Below are 17,632 nucleotides of genomic sequence, written 5' to 3' on the forward strand. Positions count from 1 at the left end.
GATTAGAGTACAGTCATGCATCACTTAATGAATGGCCACAGGATACATTCTGAGAAACGCATTGATAGATGATTTCATCATTCTGTGAACATCATAGAGTGTACTTACACATACCAAGATGGCATAGCTACTACAGACGTAGGCTCTGTGGTACAGGCCATTGCTCCAAGGCTGCACATCTCTACAGGATGGTACTGTACTGAATACTGTAGGCAATTGGAGCACAGTGGTAAGTATTTGTGTATTTAAACATAGAAAAGGTATAGTAAAAACAGGGTGTTACAGTCTTAAGGGCCCACCATTGTATTTCCAGTCTCCGTTGACTGAAACATCATTATACAGTACATGAGCACGTATCTTTCTCACCTGGTACTAGTGGAAAGCTAGAAGGCTTAGAAGTCTACCTGTAAACATAGCTTAAGTAATAATACAGCCTTATTTTTAAATGATAATAGCAATAATAGTGTTCACTTATTGAGCATTTTACTATGAGTTACTTACTAAATATATTTCATCGTTAATTTACTCTTTGTGTTATTTGATCTATAACATCGTTTAACAGGGAAATTACCTAGTACATAATGTACTGTTATCTACATTTTATCTAGATGAGGAAACTGAGGCACAGAGAAATTAAGTACTTTGCCTAGGATTACCCGTGAAGTTAAGTGACAGAATCAATGAATCTGGAAGGTCTGGCTTCAGATCTCTTGTGCTGAGTCACTCGCATACTTTACTACCTCTAAGGTTTCTAATCAGAGGAATTTGTATCTGTATTCCCTGCTACTCTTACCCTCTATGTGGGATTTGGCCTTTCTCCATTATCCCTGTGAACTCGCTCTGGGACCTTCCTTCTTGTACTTGGAACCATCAGAAAGTGATCTGAGAACATAGAAATCTACTGTGTTGTGAAACAGAATTACCTGGAAGCGGAAAAAGCCCTCCTGGCTCAATTCACATGTCACGGCTTATGGTCGTATCCGGGGAACATATGAAACTGGGCACTGAGTGCGGAGTCAGGAAAGCCCTGTCCATCCTCTGGGTTTCTGGGGAAAACGTGGACCCCTTCATTGTCACTTTCTCCTGTATATTTTTGTTTTTACTTTTAGAACTGTACAATTACGTAATAAATAATAAAAAGTCGTTGGAAGGATAGGTGAAGTTCAGAAGTGAAAGTGTTTTGGAGGAGTCTAAGCTCCTTCCCACCCTCATTGACCTTTCCTCTCTAATAAATAGAACTGGTCTAACCAAGGATCTGTGGAATGAGCAGAGTCCAACGGAGATTCAGGGATTCTAATAACCTCTTGTAGAATCACTGGTTTGTTTCAGCCACAAGAAGGAATTACCTTTTGACATTGGCTTGAACAGCTGTTGTGCAAAGAAAAACTTTTTGGAAAGTTCTGGAAGTACCAGATTGATTTTATAGGTTTTTTTTTTTTTTTTTGGAGGGACATGGGGGTATTGACAGTTGATGTTAATCAGAAATCCTAAATTATGTGTATTCCTGGTATGTTGCAATCAGCCGGCCACCTGGTTTTCCTCTGGGCTCTTAATTTTAGGTGTATTCCGAGGAAGTTTTTCTAACTTTTCTGTAAACACAGACCAGGTATATTGCATACTTTCAATGTTTAACCAAATCTCTTCACTGTTTGCAGTATTATCTGTAGGCTCTCATGTTTTAAGACTTCCCATGGTGTTTTTGTATTGTATTTTGCTAACCTATAAACAATTCTTTGAACTTAAAACAAGATATTTGGGCAGTAACAATAAATTTTAAAAACATCAATTCAACTTTTTTACATTAGGGCTTGGACTATGGAAAAAGTATTGGGCAGCATGCCTCATACTGAGTTGTTTAATGAATTTAAAAGTATAGCCTTAATAGTGAGAGAAACTCTATAGCTTCATAATATAAATTGGGTAACTAATGAGATAAAATGGTTGGCAGATCTGCTCACTAGAATCTAAGCTCTTCAAGGGTCTGAGTTTTTTTTTTTCTTTTTCTTTTATTATACTTTAAGTTCTAGGGTACATGTGCACAACGTGCAGGTTTGTTACATAGGTATACATGTGCCATGTTGGTTTGCTACACCCATCAACTCGTCATTTACATTAGGTATTTCTCGTAATGCTATCCCTCCCTTGGCCCCCCACCCCACAACAGGCCCCGGTATGTGATGTTCCCCTCCTTGTGTCCATGTGTTCTCATTGTTCAACTCCCACTTAGGAGTGAGAACATGTAGTGTTTGGTTTTCTGTCGTTGTGATACTTTGCTCAGAATGATGATTTCCAGCTTCATCCATGTCCCTGCAAAGGACATGAACTCATCCTTTTTTTATGGCTGTGTAGTATTCCATGGTGTATATGTGCCACATTTTCTTTATTCAGTCTATTATTGATGGACATTTGGGTTGGTTCCAGGTCTTTGCTATTGTGAATAGTGCCACAGTAAACATACATGTGCTTGTGTCTTCATAGTTGGACGAGTTATAATCCTTTGGGTATATGCCCAGTAATGGGATTGCTGGGTCAAATGGTATTTCTAGTTCTAGATCCTTGGGGAATCACCATACTGTCTTCCACAATGGTTGAACTAATTTACACTCCCACCAACAGTGTAAATTTAGTCCTGTTTCTCCACATCCTCTCCAGCATCTGTTGTTTCCTGACTTTTTAAATGATCGCCATTGTAACTGGCTTGAGATGGTATCTCATTGTGGTTTTGATTTGCATTTCTCTGATGACCAGTGGTGATGAGCATTTCTTCATATGTCTGTTGGCTGCATAAATGTCTTCCTTTGAGAAGTGTCTGTTCATATCCTTTGCCCACTTATTGATGGGGTTGTTGATTTTCTTGTAAATTTTTTTTAAGTTCTTTGTAGATTCTGGATACTACCCTTTGTTGGATGGATAAATTACAAAAATTTTCTCCTATTCTGTAGGTTGCCTTTTACTCTGATGATAGTTTCTTTTGCTGTGCAGAAGCTCTTTAGTTGAATTAGATCCCATTTGTCTAGTTTGGCTTTTGTTGCCATTGCTTTTGGTGTTTTAGTCATGAAGTCTTTGCCCATGCCTATGTCCTGAATGGTATTGACTGCATTTTCTTCTAGGGTTTTTACGGTTTTAGGCCTTATATTTAAGCCTTCAGTCCATCTTGAGTTAATTTTTGTATAAGATGTAAGGAAGGGATCCAGTTTCAGCTTTCTACATATGGCAAGCCAGGTTTCCCAGCAGCATTTATTAAATAGGGAATCCTTTCTCCATTGCTTGTTTTTGTCAGGTTTGTCAAAGATCAGATGGCTGTAGATGTGTAGTGTTATTTCTGAGGCCTCTGTTCCGTTCCATTGGTGTACATATCTGTTTTGGTACCAGTACCATGCTGTTTTGGTTACTGTAGCCTTGTAGTATAGTTTGAAGTCAGGTAGCGTGATGCCTCCAGCTTTGTTCTTTTGGCTTAGGATTGTCTTGGCTATGCAGGCTCTTTTTTGCTTCCATGTGAAATTTAAAGTAGTTTTTTCCAATTCTGTGAAGAAAGTCATTGGTAGCTTGATGGGGATAGCATTGAATCTGTAAATTACCTTGGGCAGTATAGCCATTTTCACGATACTGATTCTTCCTATCCATGAGCATGGAATGTTCTTCCATTTGTTTATGGCCTCTTTTATTTCATTGAGCAGTGGTTTGTAGTTCTCTTTGAAGAGGTCCTTCATATCCCTTGTAAGTTGGATTCCTAGGTGTTGTATTCTCTTTGTAGCTATTGTGAATGGGAGTTCACTCATGATTTGGCTCCTTGTTTGTCTGTTATTGGTGTATAGGAATGCTTGAGATTTTTTGCACATTGATTTTGTATCCTGAGACTTTGCTGAAGTTGCTTATCAGCTTAAGGAGATTTAGGGCTGAGACGATGGGGTTTTCTAAATATACAATCATGTCATTTGCAAACAGGCAATTTTACTTCCTCTTTTCCTAATTGAATACCCTTTATTTCTTTCTCTTGCCTGATTATCCTGGCCAGAACTACCAATACTGTGTTGAATAGGAGTGGTGAGAGGACGGCATCCTTGTCTTGTGCAGGTTTTCAAAGGGAATGCTTCCAGTTTTTGCCCATTCAGTATGATATTGGCTTTGGGTTTGTCATAAATAGCTCCTTATTATTTTGAGATGCGTTCCATCAATATCTAGTTTACTGAGAGTTTTTAGCATGAAAGACTGTTGAATTTTGTCAAAGGCCTTTCGTGCATCTATTGAGATAATCATGTGGTTTTTGTCATAGGTTCTGTTTATGTGATGGATGATGTTTATTGATTTGTGTATGTTGAACAGCCTTGCATCCCAGGGATGAAGCCGACTTGATCGTGGTGGATAAGCTTTTTGATGTGCTGCTGGATTCAATTTGCCATTATTTTATAGAGGATTTTCGCATCAACGTTCATCAGGGATATTGGCCTAAAATTCTCTTTTTTTATTGTTTGTCTGCCAGGCTTTGGTATCAGGATGATGCTGGCCTCATAAAATGAGTTAGGGAGGATTCCCTCTTTTTCTATTGGAATAGTTTCAGAAGGAATGGTACCAGCTCCTCTTTGTACCTCTGGTAGAATTCGGCTGTGAATCTGTCTGTTCCTGGACTTTCTTTGGTTGGTAGGCTATTAATTATTGCCTCAATTTCAGAGCCTGCTATTGGTCATTTCAGAGGTTCAACTTCTTCCTGGTTTAGTCTTGGGAGAGTGTATGTGTCGAGGAATGTATCCATTTCTTCTGGATTTTCTAGCTTATTTGCATAGAGGTGTTGATAGTATTCTCCAGTGGTAGTTTGTATTTCTGTGGGATTGGTGGTGATATCCCCTTTATCATTTTTTATTACGTCTTTTTGATTCTTCTGTCTTTTCTTCTTGCTAGCGGTCTATCAATTTTGTTGATCTTTTCAAAAAACCAGCTCCTGGATTCATTAATTTTTTTTTTTGAAGGGTTTTTTGTGTGTCTATCTCTTTCAGTTCTGCTCTGATCTTAGTTATTTCTTGCCTTTTACTAGCTTTTCAATTTGTTTGCTCTTGCTTTTCTAGTTCTTTTAATTGTGATGTTAAGGTGTTGTTTTTAGATCTTTCCTGCTTTCTCTTGTGAGCATTTAGTGCTATAAATTTCCCTCTACACACTGCTTTAAATGTGTCCCAGAGATTCTGGTATGTTGTGTCTTTGTTCTCATTGGTTTCAAAGAACATCTTTATTTCTGCTTTCATTTCGTTATGTACCCAGTAGTCATTCAGGAGCAGGTTGTTCAGTTTCCATGTAGATGTGTGGTTTTGAGTGAGTTTATTAATCCTGAGTTCTAATTTGATTTCACTGTGGTCTGAGAGAAAGTTTGTTGTAATTTCTGTTCTTTTACATTTGCTGAGCAGTGTTTTTCTTCCAATTCTGTGGTCAATTTTAGAATAAGTGCGATGTGGTGCTGAGAAGAATGTATATTCTGTTGATTTGGGGTGGAGAGTTCTGTAGATGTCTGTTAGGTCTGCTTGGTCCAGAGCTGAGTTCAAGTCCTGGATATCCTTGTTAACCTTTTGTCTTGTTGATCTATCTAATATTGACAGTGGGATGTTAGACTCGCACACAATAATAATGAGAGACTTTAAGTCTTTTTCTAGGTCTCTAAGGACTTGCTTTATGAATCTGGGTGCTCCTGTATTGGGTACATATATGTTTAAGATAGTTAGCTCTTCTTGTTGAATTGATCCCTTTACCATTATGTAGTGGCCTTCTTTGTCTCTTTTGATCTTAGTTGGTTTAAAGTCTGTTTTATTAGAGACTAGGATTGCATTCCCTGCTTTTTTTTTTCGCTTGGTAGATCTTCCTCCAGCTGTTTATTTTGAGCCTATGTGCATCTCTGCACGTGAGACGGGTCTCCTGAATACAGCACAGTGACGGGCCTTGACTGTTTATCCAATTTGCCAGTCTGCGTCTTTTAACTGGGGCATTTAGCCCACTTATATTTAAGGTTAATATTGTTATGTTTGAATTTGATCTGTCATTATGATGTTTGCTGGTTATTTTGCCCATTAATTGATGCAGTTTCTTCCTAGCCTCGATGGTCTTTACAATTTGGCATGTTTTTGCAGTGGCTGGTACCAGTTGTTCCTTTCCATTTTTACTGCTTCCTTCAGGAGCTCTTTTAGGGCAGGCCTGGTGGTGACAAAATCTCTGAGCATTTGCTTGTCTGTAAAGGATTTTATTTCTCCTTCACTTGTGAAACTTAGTTTGGCTGGTTATGAGATTCTGGGTTGAAAATTCTTTAAGAATGCTGAATATTGGCCCCCACTCTCTTCTGGCTAGTAGGGTTTCTGCTGAGAGATCTGCTGTTAGTCTGATGGGCTTCCCTTTGTGGGTAACCCGACCTTTCTCTCTGGCAGCCCTTAACATTTTTTCCTTCATTTCAACGTTGGTGAATCTGACAATTACGTATCTTGGGATTGCGCTTCTCGAGGAATATCTTTGTGGTGTTCTCTGTATTTCCTGAATTTGAATGTTGACCTGCCTTGCTAGGTTGGGGAAGTTCTCCTGGATAATATACTGAAGAGTGTTTTGTAACTTGGTTCCATTCTGTCTATCACTTTCAGGTACAACAATCATAGCATTGGTCTTTTCACATAGTCGCATATTTATTGAAGCCTTTGTTCATTTCTTTTCATTCTTTTTTCTCTAATCTTGTCTTCTTGCTTTATTTCATTAATTTGATCTTCGATCACTGATATCCTTTCTTCTGCTTGATCGAATCGGCTATTGAAGCTTGTTTATGCTTTGTGAAATTCTTGTACTTTGGTTTTCAGCTCCATCAGGTCATTTAAGCTCTTCTCTACACTGGTTATTCTAGTTAGCCATTTGTCCAACCTTTTCTCAAGGTTTTAAGTTTCCTTGCGATCGGTCAGAACGTGCTGCTTTAGCTTGGAGAAGTTTGTTATTACCAACCTTCTGAAGCCTACTTCTGTCAACTCGTTAAACTCATTGTCCATCCAGTTTTGTTCCTTTGCTGGTGAGGAGTTACGTTCCTTTGGAGGAGAAGAGGCGTTCTGTTTTTGGAATTTTCAGCCTTTCTGCTGTGGTTTCTCCCCATCTTTGTGGTTTTATCTACCTTTGGTCTTTGATTTTGGTGACGTACAGATGGGTTTTGGTGTGGGTGTCCTTTTTGTTGATATTGATCCTATTCCTTTGTTTGTTAGTTTTCCTTCTAACAGAGGCCCGTCAGCTGCAGGTCTGTTGGAGTTGCTGGAGGTCCACTCTAGACCCTGTTTACCTGGGTATCACCAGTGGAGGCTGCAGAACAGCAAATATCGCGGCCTGATCCTTCCTCTGGAAGCTTCGTCCAAGAAGGACACCCACCTATATGAGGTGTCTGTCGGCCCCTACTGGGAGGTGTCTCCTCCCAGTCAGGCTACATGGGGCTCAGGGACCCACTTGAGGAGGCAGTCTGTCCGTTACTGGAGTTCAAATGCCGAGCTGGGAGAACCACTGCTCTCTTCAGAGCTGTCAGGCAGGGATGTTTAAATCTGCAGAAGCCGTCTGCTGCCTTTTGTTTAGATATGCCCTGCCCCCAGAGATGCAATCTAGAGAGGCAGTAGGCCTTGCTGAGCTGCGGTGGGCTCCACCCAGTTCAAGCTTCCTTGCTGCTTTGTTTACACTGTGAGCATAGAAGTGCGTACTGAAGCCTCAGCAATGGCGGGGAGGCGCTTCCCCTCACCAAGCTCCAGCATCCCAGCTTGATCTCAGACTGCTTGGCTAGCAGCAAGCAAGGTTCCATGGGCATGGGACCCCCCGAGCCAGGCACTGGAGGCAATCACCTGCTCTGCCAGTTGCGAAGACTGGGAAAAGCACAGTATTTGGGCAGAGTATACTGTTCCTCCAGGTACAGTCACTCACGCCTTTCCTTGGCTAGGAAAGGGAAATCCCCTGACCCCTTGCACTTCCTGGATGAGGTGACGTCCTGCCCTGCTTTGGCTCACCCTCCATGGGCTGCACCCACTGTCCAACCAGTGCCAGTGAGATGAACCAGGTACCTCAGTTGGAAATGCAGAAATCACCCATCTTCTGCATCGATCTTGCTGGGAGCTGTAGACCAGAGCTGTTCCTACTGGGACATCTTGGAAGCAACTCTGGGTCTGAGTTTCTGTTTGTTGCCCTGATGTATATCCCCAGTGCCTAGAATGATACTTGTTACATAGGAAGTGCTTGATCCATGTTTGCACAAATGAATCTTTCTCATAATGAGGTTTCTCTAAACAAGCTGTTCTCCCAAAAACTTAAACCCAGCTTTATGTTGAAGCATCTCATTATACATTGGAAAGATGAAATGTGTAGTGAGACTTTGAATCTTCTTTTGAATCTAGAAACATTAGCATTTTTAGACCATTCTATTTTAATATTTATGAAATTTATGAAATAATAAGAAACATGAGGCCGGGCTCAGTGGCTTATGCCTGTAATCCCAGCAGTTTGGGAGGCCAGGGCTAGTGGATCATGAGGTCAGGAATTTGAGACCAGCTTGGCCAACATGGTGAAACCCCACTTCTACTAAAAATATAAAAATTAGCTGGGCGTGGTGGTGCATGCCTGTAATGCCAGCTCCTGGAGAGGCTGAGGCAGGAGAATCATTTGAACCTGGGAGGCGGAGTTTGCAGTGAGCTGAGATCGTGCCATTGCACTCCAGCCTGGGCAACATTGCGAGACTCCATCTCAAAAACAAAAACAAAAACAAAAAAAATGTGTGACCTAAATTAGGCTTATAGATGAACCATTGCAGTCATGATTAATTCCGCCATTGTTTGCCTTGTGATCTTTGGTGCCATGTCTGTACATATTTCATGATTTCTGTGTTTTTACGGTTTCCATTTCAGATCTCCCTTGAGTTTAGAAATCTGGCTGAGAAATACCAAACAGTGATTGCCGACATTTGCCGGAGAATGGGCATTGGGATGGCAGAGTTTTTGGATAAGCATGTGACCTCTGAACAGGAGTGGGACAAGGTTAGTCTCATAAAACAGTGTCTGTGTGTGATGTATTAGACAGAGCTGGCAGTCCTCATAGTGAAGCTCAGAACAAGAAAAGTTGTCCAGTATTTTCAGCCCCTCTGGTTTTACAATTCATCTGTTTAGGTTGAATGTCTCATCATAAACAGTTTATTCCAGAGTTAATTCCAAACCAGCAGCTATGTAGGATATCAGCCAGGCTAGGAGTAGGGTACTGGAGAGAAGTGCTTATCTAGACAAAGGGATGTAATTGACCATGAAGATTAAAACTACACATCAAAACATAAGGTAGGGTTAGGAGTCTTGCCTATTTTTCATAGGAATGGTGTTTGTGAGACTTACTCATCACTTCTGTGGAAGTAAAGACATTTTATTTATTTATTTTAAAGCCAGTCAGATTTAGCAGGCAGAGACATTTCAGACATCTAAAGTGTTGATGTATTTCATACCTTTAACTGTGCTTAAATTAGGATCTCCGAAAAGATGCTGCTACATGGTCACTACGTTAGTGTAGGTCCAAGGTCTTGGGCCTCTTAATTTTTCAAACCTCAAAACTTGACAGCAGTTATCTTTGGAACTGCTGATTTGTGCTTCCTAAGTTAACAGCATACAATGACTGCTAGAAATCAATTTCTGCATTTAAGGTGAAGTTAGCCGGGTACTATGGTTTACCTGTAATCTCAGCACTTTGGGAGGCTGAGGTGGGAGGATCATTTGAGCCCAGGAGTTAGACACAAGCCTAAGCAACATAGCGAGACCCCGTCTTTCAAAAAATTAAAAAATGAGCAGGGAATTGGTGGCATGTGCCTGTGGTCCCAGCTACTCTGGAGGCTGAGGTGTGGGAGGATTGCTTGAGCCCAAGAGTTGAAGGTTGCAGTGAGCCATGATTGTGCCACTGCACTCCAACGTGGGTGACAGAGCAAGACACCATCTGAAAGAAAATAAAGTTGAAGTTAAAACTTCTGGCCAAGAACCAGCACTGGTTATGATAGTAACTCATTTTCTGTTGTGCAGATTTATTCAGGAAACTTAATTTTAGGTTGTTGAATAGAAGTTTTGATCAGATAAAATTGAATTAAAAAAAATTTTTTTTGAGACAGGGTCTTGCTGTTATCCAGGCTGGTGTGTAGTGGTGTGATCACGGCTCCCCGCAGCCTCAACCTCCTGGGCTCAGGTGATCCTCCCACCTCAGCCTACCGAGTAGCTGTAACTACAGTGCATGACACCATACCAGGCTCATTTTTGTACATTTTTTGTAGAGAGAGGGTTTTGCCATGTTGCCCAGGCTAGTCTCAAACTCCTGGCATCAAACAGTCCTCCCACTCTGGCCTCTCAAATGTTGGGATTACAGGCATGACCAGCCAATTATTTCAAGGAGTTATTTTTTTTCTTCTACTTTGGGGGAAGATGAATTATATAAGTCTCCATTTTAGGAGTATTTCTACCAAAAGAACTATTATCTTCAAATATATTTTTGGATAGTACTATAGATATACTAATTTTTTTTTAAATTTCTAGTAATTCTTTTGAAGATTTTGTATAGCTGTCCAAAGCCAATTTCTGTCTACCTAATTTCAGCAAGATTTCACTCTTTTCATGTTACTTTTGTCCCAGAACAAATTTCAAGTGCTTTCTCTTCACCTGTGCATTCTTCCCCCTGATTAGTCTCTGGCTTTGTATTACTTTCAGTCAGAGACGACTTTTTTTTTTTGAGACAGGGTCTCACTCTGTCACCCAGACTGGAATGCAGTGGCACAGACAAGGCAGCCTTGACCTTCTGGGCTCAAGCAATCTTCCTTGCCCTCAGCCTCCTGAGTAACTGGGACCACAGGCACGTTGCCACCATGCCTGGCTAATTTATTTTAATTTTTATTATTTTTGAGACAGGGTATTGCTCTGTCACCCAGGCTGGAGTGTAGTGGCATGATCAAGGCTCACTGCAGCCTTCACCTCCTGTGCTCAAGCAGTCCTCTCACCTCAGCCTCCCCATTAGCTGGGACTATAGGTCCACACCACTACACCAGGCTAATTTTTGTAATTTTTTGGTAGAGACAGGGTTTCATCGTGTTGCCTAGGCTGGTCTTGAGCTCCTGGGCTCAAGCGATTCACCTGCCTTAGCCTCCCAGGTGTGAGCCACTACACTCAGCCTTTTAAAATTTTTTACAGAGATGAGGTCTTGCTTTGTTGGCCAGGCTGGTCTAAAACTCTTGGGCTCAAGCAGTCCCCTCTCCACAGCCTCCCAAAATTCCGGGATTACAGGCGTGAACTTCGGTCATTTCCTAACTTTTACCCTTCCTAATGACACTCCAGAGCTTACCTTCTTTACTTTTGCTTCTTAAGTTAACTAATAGACAATTATTGTATGTGGATATTGCATTAAGTTGTCTTAGGATACCCTTTTCAGAGGAGGACAGCTTTTGACAAATTGCTGTCGCGGAAAAAAAAAGTATTTGGCAATTAAGAGTTGCATTTACTGAAATCTCTGTTGAGAGAGGGGAAGTTACGTTGTCTCTAAAAGAAAAACTAAAAAGAAAAGGGGAAGTTTTAGCAAAGTTGTTAAAGCCTGACACTTAAGTCATACTACCTAGTTTTGAACTCTTAGCCCCTGCCACAGACACGGCAGCCCCTTGAACCTTCCTGGGTTCAAGCGAGCCTCCTACTTCAGCCCCCTGAGTAACTGGGACCACTGGCCTGTGTCACTGTGCCTGGCTAATTTTTTTTTTTTCTCACATGGGCAATGTTGGGCAAGTTAAATCGACTTCTTTGTGCCTCAGTTTCCTCATCTGAAATGGAGATCATACTGCTATGTACCTGATACAATGTTTGTGAGGATTGAATGTGCAGAGTTCTTTTTTTCTGTTGTTGTTGTTTTGAGACGGAGTCTCACTCTGTCGCCCAGGCTGGAGTGCAGTGGCGCGATCTCGGCTCCCTGCAAGCTCCACCTCCTGGGTTCACGCCATTCTCCTGCCTTAGCCTTCTGAGTAGCTGGGACTACAGGCACCCGCCACCAGGCCAGCTAATTTTTTTGTATTTTTAGTAGAGACGGGGTTTCACCGTCTTAGCCAGGATGGTCTTGATCTCCTGATCTCGTGATCCGCCCGTCTCAGCTTCCCAAAGTGCTGGGATTACAGGCATGAGCCATCGTGCCCGGCTGAATGTGCAGAGTTCTTAAAACCGTGTCAAGAACATAAAATAGTTATTTGTTCTTTCATATAATGATGATTTTGAGGGCCTGCGGATCTTGACATGTTATCAGATTGGTCAAAAAAAGATTAAACCATAGTTGGTATTGTCCTAGTTCCTGTTACCAGAATATTCCATCTTTCATCGTTGCCTTCTCTCATAGTTTTATGTATCAAAAAGTTTATTGTAAAGCTAGGGCGGGCACGGTGTCTTGGGCTGGTAATCCCAGCACTTTGGGAGGCCAAGGCTGGCAGATCAGTTGAGGTCAGGAGTTCGAGACCAGCGTGGCCAACATGGTGAAACCCCGTCTCTACTAAAAATAAAAAATTAGCTGGATGTGGTGGTGGGTGCTTTAATTCCAGCTACTCAGGAAGCTGAGGCAGGAGAATCACTTGAACCCAAGAGGCAGAGGTTGCAGTGAGTTGAGATTGTGCCAGTGCACTCCAGCCCAGGGGACAAAGTGAGACTTGATCTCAAAAAAAAAAAAAAAAAAAAAGTTATTGTAAAGCTAGACACGGTGGTATTTGCCTACAATCCCAGCTGTTCGGGAAGCTGAGGCAGAAAGATTGCTTGGGTCCAGTAGTTTGAGTCTAACGTGGGCAAATATATGAGACTCCATCTCAAAAAAAAAATAAAAAATAAAAATAAAAAAATGTTTACTAGTTTTTTTCAGTAGCCTTTTATTATAGTAGCAGTACATGTGTATTGTAGAAATTTGGAAAATACAAGTGAAAAATAAAAACATCAAATTCCCGTCAGCCAGAGACTGCTATGAAATGTTTTGAGCACATCCTTCTTGAATGTTTTTTAAATCCTGGTATGTATATTTGTATTTTAAAATCAAAATGCATTCTTACCCATTCTCTTTTGAACCTGCTTTTTTGTAGCTAATGATCTCTAGTGTGTCCATTTCAGTAAAAATTCCATTATTAAAGTGCTTTAAAAATCGTCTCTTACAGTACTGCCACTATGTTGCTGGGCTGGTCGGAATTGGCCTTTCCCGTCTTTTCTCAGCCTCAGAGTTTGAAGACCCCTTAGTTGGTGAAGATACAGAACGTGCCAACTCTATGGGCCTGTTTTTGCAGAAAACAAACATCATCCGTGACTATCTGGAAGACCAGCAAGGAGGAAGAGAGTTCTGGCCTCAAGAGGTAACAGATTCAGGGTATTTTGGGGGAAAATAACTTTAGACATTCTCTGAAAAATCCTTTAACTCTTGTGGTTGCGGGTGACAGAAAAACAAGTCAGGCCTCCCCCAGGCAGCATAAGGGGATGTGGAAAATAGGATAGCTTGACATGAGTTTGCTTCAGGTAGACTGGCTGACTCCCAGGATTCACACCACGTAATCAGTATATTCAAGCCTTGCTGTCCTTGATTTCTTTCAGACGGTCTTTCTCCAAGTGGTGGATATGGTAACAACCCATGTGCACTAGCTTAACAAAAAGTTCTTAGGAATGGCTTTGTTCGGCCTGGCGCAGTGGCTCATGCCTGTAATCCCAACAGTTTGAGAGGCCAAGGTGGGCGGATCACCTGAGGCCAGGAGTTCGAGACCAGCCTGGCCAACATCGTGAAACCCCGTGTTTACTAAAAAATACAAAAATTAGCCGGGCGTGGTGGCAAGGGCTTGTAATCCCAGCTACCTGGGAGGCTGAGGCAGGAGAATCGCTTGAACCCAGGAAGCAGAGATTGCGGTGAGCTCAGATTGTGCCACTGCACTCCAGCCTGGGCGACAGAGTGAGACTCCCTCTCAAAAGAAGAGGAAGGGCTTGGTTCTTCTGCTCAGCCCTGAATCAGTTACTGTTGCTACACAGCTGAGTTCTCTGGCCTCGCCTGGATTACGTCTACACAGTACACACAGAATGGATTTCCCCCAAAGAAAGAATTCTGCAGCAGGAAGGGGAAAGGGATGGCAGGTAGACAAAAACTCCAGGTGTCTGTAATAAGGGACAGGGTCGATCTTTAATTAAAACATGGACAGGGAACAGAAAGCTTTTGATACTGATTTTGTTCAGAAGGAAAGTAGAAAATTTTATGACTGTTCCCTGAATTTATTCCAGCATTTACCTTTTGCTTTCCATAAAAGTGTTTCCTGCAGCCAAGTACTTTAAAGTTTTAAAAAGACGGGTGAGGCTAAGTGTGGTGTCTCATACTTATAATCCCAGTGCTGAGGCCAGGAGTTCAAGACCAGCCTGAGCAACACAGCAAGATACCATCTCTATAAAAAATTGTTAGAAAATGATTCTGCTGAAAGAGCAAAAATAAAAATTAAAGAAAGTAGAAAAAATAAAACTAAATTTAAAAGATTAACTGGGCATGTTGGCATGCACCTGTATTCCTAGGTATTCGGGAGGCTAAGGCACAAGGATCCCTTGAGCGCAGGAGCTCAAGGTTGGATTGAGTTGTAATCACACCACTGCACTCCAGCCTCGGTGGCAGAATGAAACTGTCTCAAGAAAAAAAAAAAGTGACAGAGGGAAACAATATTTGCAATTCATAGAGCAGATACAGGGTTCATATTCCTAATATTAAAAAAAACTTCTAAAAGTTAAGAAAAAGGCCAACTGCCCCACAGAAAAATGGGCAAGGAGATAAGAACAAGATAGTTCACAGGAAGAGACACACAGATGATTATTAAAAATCTGAAAAGATGCTGAGTCTTACTCCTAAGAAAAATTCACATTTAAACTACTCTGGGGGCTGGGCAAGGTGGCTCACGCCTGTAATCTCAACACTGGGAGACCAAGGTAGGAAGATCACTGAAGCCAGGATATCGAGACCAGCCTGGACAACGTAGTGAGACCTTATCTCTTAAAACAAAACAAAACAAAACAAAACAAAAAAAACAGTAAAAATTGGCCGGGCACAGTGACTCCTGCCTATAATCCCAGCACTTTGGGAAGCCCAGGTGAGTGGATCACTTGAGGTCAGGTGTTTGAGAACAGCCTGGCCAACATGGCAAAACTCCGTCTCTACTAAAATTACAAAAATTAGCCAAGTGTGGTGGCATACGCTGGTAGGGCCAGCTACTTGGGAGGCTGATGTGAGACTCCATTTAAAAAAAAAAAATCAAAAATTAGCTGGGTATAGTGGCACACCCCTATAGTTCTCGCTCCTTGGGAGGTTGAGGCAGGAGGATTGCCTGAGCCCAGGAGTTCAAGGCTGCAGTGAACCATGATCGCACCACTGCATTCTAGCAGCCTGGGAGACAGAGCAAAACCCTTGTCTCAAAACAAACAAACAACAACAAAAAAACAAAAAACACTTCCCTCAGCTCAGACATGGCCTTTTAAGTTTCCTAGGTGACTCGTGTGCAGCCAGGGTTGAGAAACCACTCTTGTCTTACCCCTCTTTTGCAGACACAGGGCTCAGAGAAGGGAAGGGGATTGTCTGGGGATGTATAGTGAGGCAGTGGCTGCCTTGGAAGTGGAGTCTCAGTCTCCCGGCTCCTAGGCCAGCCCCTGACCACTGTTCCATTGTCTCCCAGACAGAACATCAGCCACGGGCATGTGATGCATGAGCGTGAGCCACACCATCTTGCACACACAGGAGCAGAGCCCTGCTCTTCTCATTCACTTACTTTATCTGTAAAATAGCATCATTTCTACCACACGGTGGTGGTGTGAATAAAATGAGATGAACTTCTAGCATAGAGTGCTTAGTAAAGGTTCTGGACATTTCGTAGTAGTTGAATCATGCCAAATGTGGTCCTAGGTGATTGGCTTCTTTTGCTAGCATGTTTTCAGGGCTCCTCCATGCTGGGGCATTGCATCACTGCTTTATTCCTTTTTATCGCCTAGTATTATTCCACTGTGTGGATAGACCACATTTATCCATTCATCAGTTGAAGGATATTTGGGTTCTTCCCATTTTTTTTGGCTATGGTGAATAGTACTGTGTACATTTGCATATAAGTTTTTGTGTAGATGTGTGTTTTCCTTTTTCTTGGGTCTATGCTGAGAAGTGGAATTGCTGGTTCATACAGCAGCTCGAACCTTGTGAGGAGCTGCCAGACGCTTTTCCAAGGTCGCTCCACCATTTTACATTCCCGTCAGCAGTGTGAGAGTCCCAGTTTCACCAGCACTTGTTGTTATCTCTTTTTAACTGTATGTATATATACTTAACATTTTATTTATAATAAATGTACATAATAGAGAATTTGCCATTTTAACTATTTTTAAGTCTATTATTCAGTGGCATTAAGTACATTAATGATGTTATATAACCATCAACACTATGTTTCCAGAACTTTCGCTAGCTTCAGAGAATCCTCTAAATAATATCATTAAAAATCATCAAGCCGAATCCCACTGTTAGAATTAAAGGTTTTATTTCACTTTCAAGTTATCAGGATCCAGGGAGGTGTAATACACTTAGAGGATAGACTCAGCTCATTTCCCAGCTATGCCTTTCAGCAGCTTTCTTACCAGAGTAGGAATATAATGTTAGTCATTATTTAGAGGCCTGGCCATCTTGAGAAGGTTTACTGTTTAGTCTGCAGTACAATTATAACTGTTTTTGTATATTGGGTTATTTTTTTCAGAAGTAGGCCAGTAGCTCTAACAGGAGCCTCTTTAGCCTGAATTCGTCCAAGTAGTGCAGTGTTGCACTAGTTGTCCCTCGGGACATGCTCCCCAATACGTAACTCACTTCCAGGTTGCAACTGGACACTTACTGGTAGTCAGAAATAGCTATTGCATGGAGCTTAAAATGAACTTGATCTTCGTGAAAGATGAGTCTGCAGCTAAGAGACTTTACTGTATATCATAGTGTTTTTTTTTGTTTTGTTTTGTTTTTGTTTTTGTGACGGAGTCTCACTCTTTCACCCAGGCTGGAGTGCAATGGCGAGATCTTGACTCACTGCAACCTCCGCCCCCTAGGTTCAAGCAATTCTTCTGTCTCACCCTCCTGAGTAGCTGGGATTACAGGCGCCTGCCACCGTACCCGGCTAGTTTTTGTATTTTTAGTAGACACAGGGTTTCACCACCTTGGCCAGGCTGGTCTTGAACTCCTGACCTCGTGATCCACCCTCCTCGGCCTCCCAAAGTGCTGGGATTACAGGCGTGAGCCACGGCGCCCAGCCTGTATCATAGTTCTTATGCACAAAGACCCTTTAATATTGTTTGTAAATTCTCCCCTATGCACACGCTGACCTGTTCCTTAATCTTCTTATCTGTCTAGGTTTGGAGCAGGTATGTTAAGAAGTTAGGGGATTTTGCTAAGCCGGAGAATATTGACTTGGCCGTGCAGTGCCTGAATGAACTTATAACCAATGCACTGCACCACATCCCAGATGTCATCACCTACCTTTCGAGACTCAGAAACCAGAGTGTGTTTAACTTCTGTGCTATTCCACAGGTAGGGAAGGGGGCTCCTCTGGGTGGATACGGGGCTAAAGGGAGTGGGGTAGGAGTAAGGGTGGATTTTGCTGTGCTATATTCAA

General features: G+C 41.9%; 1 protein-coding gene across 11 annotated transcripts in view, besides 2 other annotated features; it reads left to right on the top strand.

Moving 5' to 3' along the window:
* The window catches only part of FDFT1 (farnesyl-diphosphate farnesyltransferase 1), a 43,717-nt gene that overhangs the window by 17,292 nt on the left and 8,793 nt on the right, over positions 1 to 17,632 (top strand). For 10 of the 11 annotated variants that reach the window (NM_001287742.2, NM_001287743.2, NM_001287744.2 and 7 more), the window contains 3 exons: positions 8,877 to 9,005; positions 13,151 to 13,342; positions 17,371 to 17,547. In NM_001287742.2, the coding sequence (NP_001274671.1) occupies positions 8,877 to 9,005; positions 13,151 to 13,342; positions 17,371 to 17,547 (498 nt within the window). The remainder of the gene's footprint in view (positions 1 to 8,876; positions 9,006 to 13,150; positions 13,343 to 17,370; positions 17,548 to 17,632) is intronic. The other variant, NM_001287756.2, reaches the window with a different exon arrangement.
* Positions 7,704 to 7,753: an enhancer, noted in NCBI's record as "active region_27034". NCBI's record gives its function as "activates an Ori minimal core promoter by ATAC-STARR-seq in GM12878 lymphoblastoid cells {active_cell/tissue: GM12878}" and the evidence as "EXISTENCE:reporter gene assay evidence [ECO:0000049][PMID:35858748]".
* Positions 7,764 to 7,813: an enhancer, noted in NCBI's record as "active region_27035". NCBI's record gives its function as "activates an Ori minimal core promoter by ATAC-STARR-seq in GM12878 lymphoblastoid cells {active_cell/tissue: GM12878}" and the evidence as "EXISTENCE:reporter gene assay evidence [ECO:0000049][PMID:35858748]".

This window comes from Homo sapiens, chromosome 8, assembly GCF_000001405.40.
Source record: "Homo sapiens chromosome 8, GRCh38.p14 Primary Assembly".
Taxonomy (NCBI): Eukaryota; Metazoa; Chordata; class Mammalia; order Primates; family Hominidae; genus Homo; species Homo sapiens.